At 36.0% G+C, this 5,820-nt stretch overlaps 1 annotated feature.

Moving 5' to 3' along the window:
* Window positions 2,418-2,959: an enhancer, noted in NCBI's record as "OCT4-NANOG hESC enhancer chrX:112963371-112963912 (GRCh37/hg19 assembly coordinates)". NCBI's record gives its function as "activates a minimal SCP1, AML or CMV promoter by ChIP-STARR-seq in primed H9 embryonic stem cells {active_cell/tissue: H9 hESC(primed)}" and the evidence as "EXISTENCE:reporter gene assay evidence [ECO:0000049][PMID:30033119]".

The raw sequence follows: 5,820 nt of genomic DNA on the forward strand, positions 1-5,820 counted from the left end.
AGTGACTTTCGATAGGAGAATATTCAAAGTTTTAAGAAAATACCAAATGATTTTCCAAAGTGTTGGTAGCATTTTACATTCCCACCAGCATTACAGAAGTGTTCCAGGGCTTCACAACCTTGCTAACTCTTACTATAGTCAGGGTTTTACATTTAAGTTGCTTAAGTTGGATTATAGTATTCTCTACTTGCAGTTTTAATTTGCATTTCCTTAATGACTAATGACATTGAGCATCTTTTCAAGAGCTTATTTTCCACTTGCATATCTTTTCTGAGTAAGTGTCTGTTAAAATATTTAACCTATTTTTAATTAGATTGTCTTATAACTGAGTTGTAGAAGTTCTTTATGTAGTCTAGATACATGTCCTTTGTCAGGTATGTTTTTTAAAAAATATTTCTCCTGCTCTAAAATTTTTTTTCTAACAGTTTTCTTAGAAGAATAAAGGGATTTTTCTAATTTTTAAAATGTTTAATTTGTTGATCTTTTATAGGTTGTGAGGTATTTTGGTATTGTTCCATCTTAAGAAATCTATTTTTAGATCTATGATGAATTTTGAGTGAATTTTATATATGGTGTGAGGCAAAGAAAAAGGTCTTCTTTTTTAATCACAGAGATATCCACTTATTTTATTTGTGTGTATGTGTGGAGTTGCTTTAGAGTTTACAATATACTTCTTTAACTTCTTATAGTCGGTCTTCAAGTGATACTCTACTAATTTATGAGTAGCATAAGAACTTTGCAAGAGAATATTTCCATTTTCTCCTTGTGGCCTTTGGTCAATTGCTATCCAATAACTTTATTTCAGACACATCATTAAAAATTTTTAGAATCACACAGTGGCAACTCCCTTTATATTGTATGTATTTCAGATAGCTATTGAACATAATCAAACAAGCAAGAACTCCATCCAAAATACAACAGAAATTTAATCTTCTCACAGCCTACTGACTACTGATTTCACCTTGAAAGCATCCTTATATGATTGTAACAACAGATTTGTGTTTATCAGAATAATGTCATGTAAATGGTGGTAAACTATATTTCACATATGGAGAGTTAATTACTACTGCATTATAATATAAAATTAAAAGAAAATTATACTTCTGAGATAAATGTAGACTTAATTGAATTTCTCAAATGCATTTAGGCACACAATAAGTATTAATAATGTTATTAAATATTAAATAGCAAATGATTATCTAGTTTCAAGAGCAAAGAAATTATTGTCATTTTTAAGCTAAATTCTCCACCATGAAAACACTGCAACTAATTTAAAAAAACAACAAATAGAAGTACAAACACATTCACGCCTGTAATCCCAGCACTTTGGGAGGCCGAGTCGGGCGGATCATGAGGTCAGGAGATCGAGACCATCCTGGCTAACACAGTGAAACCCCGTCTCGACTAAAAATACAAAAAAATTAGCCAGGTGTTGCGGCAGGCACCTGTAATCCCAGCTATTCAGGAGGCTGAGGCAGAAGAATGGCGTGAACCCAGGAGACGGAGCTTGCAGTGAGCAGAGATCGCGCCACTGCACTCCAGCGTGGGCGACAGAGTGAGACTCCGTCTCAAAAAAAAAAAAGAAGTACAAGGACATTGGCTCATAGGTATTATCAACCAATGAACCAATGTCTAATTGTCAAATTATGATTGTCAATTTCCTTCCACCAGACATTCCTTTGTAATAGAGTGTTTGCACATCTGTTGATAGATAACCACTCAGTCATCATTTGGGGCATTAGTCCACCAGGTGGTGTATATATTTGATACAAGGTAATTTTTCTAAGGACACACTGAAACTAGAATTTCCAAAGTAGCCATTTGTTTTATTTCATGTTTTGGCATGGAACACAATTTTATGTCATTCAAAACAGATTATAGCCATTTCATCACTGTTCCTGCCTTGTAAGTGTCAACATTATTGTATTGACAATAATTGTAATGTTTTGGAATGTATCTTTTGATAATGGTGATAACTTATGTTGGAAAATTCTAAAACATAACTAAATATTATAGCATCGTTGAATGGAAAAGGATTTTGAAAGCTCATTTATATTTATTCTCCAGCTTTTGAACTAAACCTCAGTCACTTTAATCTACCCCTAAATTTAATAAGTGTTTTAGTCTCCTAGAAAAGGAAATGTTCATTTCCTGTGAAATAATTTTAATATGTAGAAATTTTTAAAAGATATAACCCCAAGGCAAACAAATGAAAACTGTCATGTGTATATCATTTGCATTGCCCAAAACTTTACAATAATAATACAGTAATGTCTAAAATTTGATCAGCAGTTTAAATTTTACAAAGTTAATATTAGCAATATTAATATTATTCCCAGTTTATAGAATATTGGGGGAACCAGCCCCCCATATTTCAACATACGTTCTTTTCTATTTTCCCTAAGTGTCGGCCAGTCTGAGAAATAAAGAGTACAAGGAGAGAAATTTTACAGCTGGGCCTCCGGGGGTGACATCACATATCAGCAGGTTCCATGATGCCCACCTGAGCCACAAAACCAGCAAGTTTTTATTAGGGATTTTAGAAGGGGAGGGGATGTACGAACAGGGAGTAAGTCACAAGGATCACATGCTTCAAAGGGCCATAAAAGATCACAAGGCAGAGGGCAGAGAAAGATCACAAGGCAAGGGCGAAATTAGAATTACTGATGAGGCTCCATGTCCCACTGGGCATGCATTGTCTTGATAAACATCTTAACAGGAAACAGCGTTCGAGAGCAGACAACTGGCCCGACTAGAATTCACCAGGCTGGAATTTCCCAATCCTAGTAAGCCTGAGGGCACTGCAGGAGACCAGGGCATATTTCATCCCTTATCTCAACCGCATAAGACAGACGGTCCCAGAGTGATCATCTGTAGGCCTACCCCTGAGAATGCATTCCTTCCCCAGGGTTATCAATTATTAATATTCCTTGCTGGGAAAAGAATTCAGCGATATTTCTCCTACTCACACATTCATTTATAGGCTGGCTGTGAGAAGAAAAATATGGCTCTATTCTGCCCAACCCTGCAGGCAGTCAGAACTTATGGTTATCTCCCTTGTTCCCTGAAAATAGCTGTTATTCTGTTCTTTTTCAGGGTGCACTGATTTCATATTGTTGAAACACACATGTTTTACAATCAATTTGTACAGTTAATGCAATCATCACAGGGTCCTGAGGTGACATACATCCTCAGCTTATGAAGAAGATGGGATTAAGAGATTAAAGATAGGCATGAGAAATTATAACAGTATTGATTGGGGAAGTGATAAATGTCCATGAAATCTTCACAATTTATGTTCAGAGACTGCAGTAAAGACAGGCATAAGAAATTATAAAAGTATCAATTTTGGGAACTGATAAATGTCCATTAAATCTTCACAATTTATGTTCTTCTGCCGTGGCTTCAGCTGGTCCCTCTGTTCGGGGTCCCTGACTTTCCACAACAATAGAAGAGACAAGATCAGAATTATATATGCTGTACTCAAACTCATAGTAAAATAGCAATTGAAACGTATACTGTATATATAAAACTAGTTTGTAAAATGTAAATAGGTCCGATAAACCAGTTTTGAAGTACATGAAAAACATCTCATATTTGAACCTAAGTCTTCTGTCCCATTCTCTGTTCTTTTTTTCATTCGGCCACACTGCTTCTCTAGTACATATTCACTAAAGGCATTAAGTAACTCCTGTGATTATGTCTATGTGGGACTACAGGTCTGCTAAGGTCTGCTAATTTGATTGAAGTATCCAACCAATTCCTTTAAATAAATGAATTTTCAACATCAAATTTGACATTCTTCAGAACTCAGTTTAGACCCTTATTCTTGAAAGTTATAACTTAATCCTCCAAAACTGGGTTAGGTGGCCATTCTCCATCATTACACAGCACACTTTATTTACTCTATCTTAAAGTTTATTATATATAAGGCCAGGAGTGGTGGCTCATGCTTGTAATCCCAGCACTTTGGGAGTCCGAGGTGGGCAGATCACAAGGTCAGGAGTTCGAGACCAGCCTGGCCAATACGGTGAAACCCTGTCTCTACTAAAGACACACAAAAAATAGCCAGGCGTGGTGGCACATGCCTATAATCCCAGCTACTAGGGAGACTGAGGCAGAATTGTTTGAACCCGGGAGGCAGAGGTTGCAGTGAGCCGAGATCGTGCCACTGCATTCCAGCCTAGGTGACAGAGCAAGACTCTGTCTCAAAAAAAAAAAAAATAAAAAAAGGTTTATTATTTTCCAGTATTTGTAATTGTTCTATTATTTGCTTTCTGATCAACTGGATTGTATGTAACTAAAGGGTAGGCAATTTTTGTTCCCCTTGTTCATTTTATAGCTGTAGTACCTAACATAATTGTTAGTATGTAGTAGATATCATATAAAAAATCTAGGCTTAATGAAAGAATAAATTTAACTGTTGGTAGTGAAATTAGGGTAGGAATGGTTATAAAGAGTTGATTTGTCTAGCCTCTGTCAAGACTGGTTACAGATCTGAATGGATACAGATTTCTTAATGAATGAATAATCTGTTCTGTTTCTACTCCTACCTTAAGCCACTAGGTTGAAGCTTAGACAAGGAGGATGAATAACATTGTCCTGCCAGTTGTACAGATGTTCACCCAATATTCATGAATTACAAATTTAAGATCTAATCATTAGTGATGCCTAAGTCAATGATTTAGTCGTGTGCTGATTAAGTTTTCTGATGATTAATGATCAACAGTAGCATCCTACCATAGCAGAAGGCTCCACTTGCTTATTGGGCCACTGATTCTGCTCTAATCACAGCTAGCTGTCCAGAGGAACTTGGTTAAAGACCAAGATTCTGAAGAAAAATCAATCCTCATAGTTGAATATGTAGCTTAAATTACCTGCTCAAATGTTGATTGGTTGCCTAATCATTGCAGAATAGACTATAGACTCTAATTAGGGTGTAGCTCTGAAATTATGCGAAAAGGTCAGGAAACATCATTCTCCAAAGCTTACACTGATTAGGATCAATATTAAATGGATTAGATTGCTCATATGGAGAAATCTTCCACCATAAGAGATGAACTGTAAATGTTATTTCTACTGGGGTTTCTTCCAGAACTTGATCTTAGGCACTGTAACCCCACCTCGTCAAGAGGACTAAAATATACACTTTTTGTAAAACTTTGGTGGTGGAGCTGTTTGCAGAGTGTTTCAGAATTAAGACTGAACTGGTGTCTACACAATGCTCTCCAGGAGAGCAAGAGTCTATATTCAGCAGATGTTATTTTTCTGTTCACGTGCTCTCAAAAAGTGTTCTTTACGGTGCAATGAGGAGAATTCTCTATTCATATAAGATTCTTCAACTCCTTCCCACATTAAAGGGCCTCCTTTTGACTTATATATTGAATGCCACATGAAGGGTATATCATAGACAGCAGGAATTATCAGGAAAGTTATGCCTGTTCATTCTCTCTTTTTTAAGTGTACCCTTTCAGTGTATCAATCCATTTTAAGATGTTGGTTGGCATGATCAAGGGAAGAGACTGCCACAACCCTTCTCTCTGCTAGTTAATATGTGTGTGCATGTAACACTTTAGATAATAATGCACTTGGATAGTTTGGTCTCAGGTGGCTATAACTTTTTCCTTTTCCTTTTTACTTTCAAAATGGCATTTTTTCCTTAAGAGCACTTGAAAATAAAATATTTGTTATTGCTTAAAAACAAAATACCTTTTATAGAAATGTCTCTTTGTGTGTGTTTGTTTATTCTCTTCCTTGTCCAACCCCATTTTTTCCCCTTAGAAAGAACTACGATCTGTTATAAACTTTGCTTATTTATAG

This window comes from Homo sapiens, chromosome X, assembly GCF_000001405.40.
Source record: "Homo sapiens chromosome X, GRCh38.p14 Primary Assembly".
NCBI classification, from domain to species: domain Eukaryota; kingdom Metazoa; phylum Chordata; class Mammalia; order Primates; family Hominidae; genus Homo; species Homo sapiens.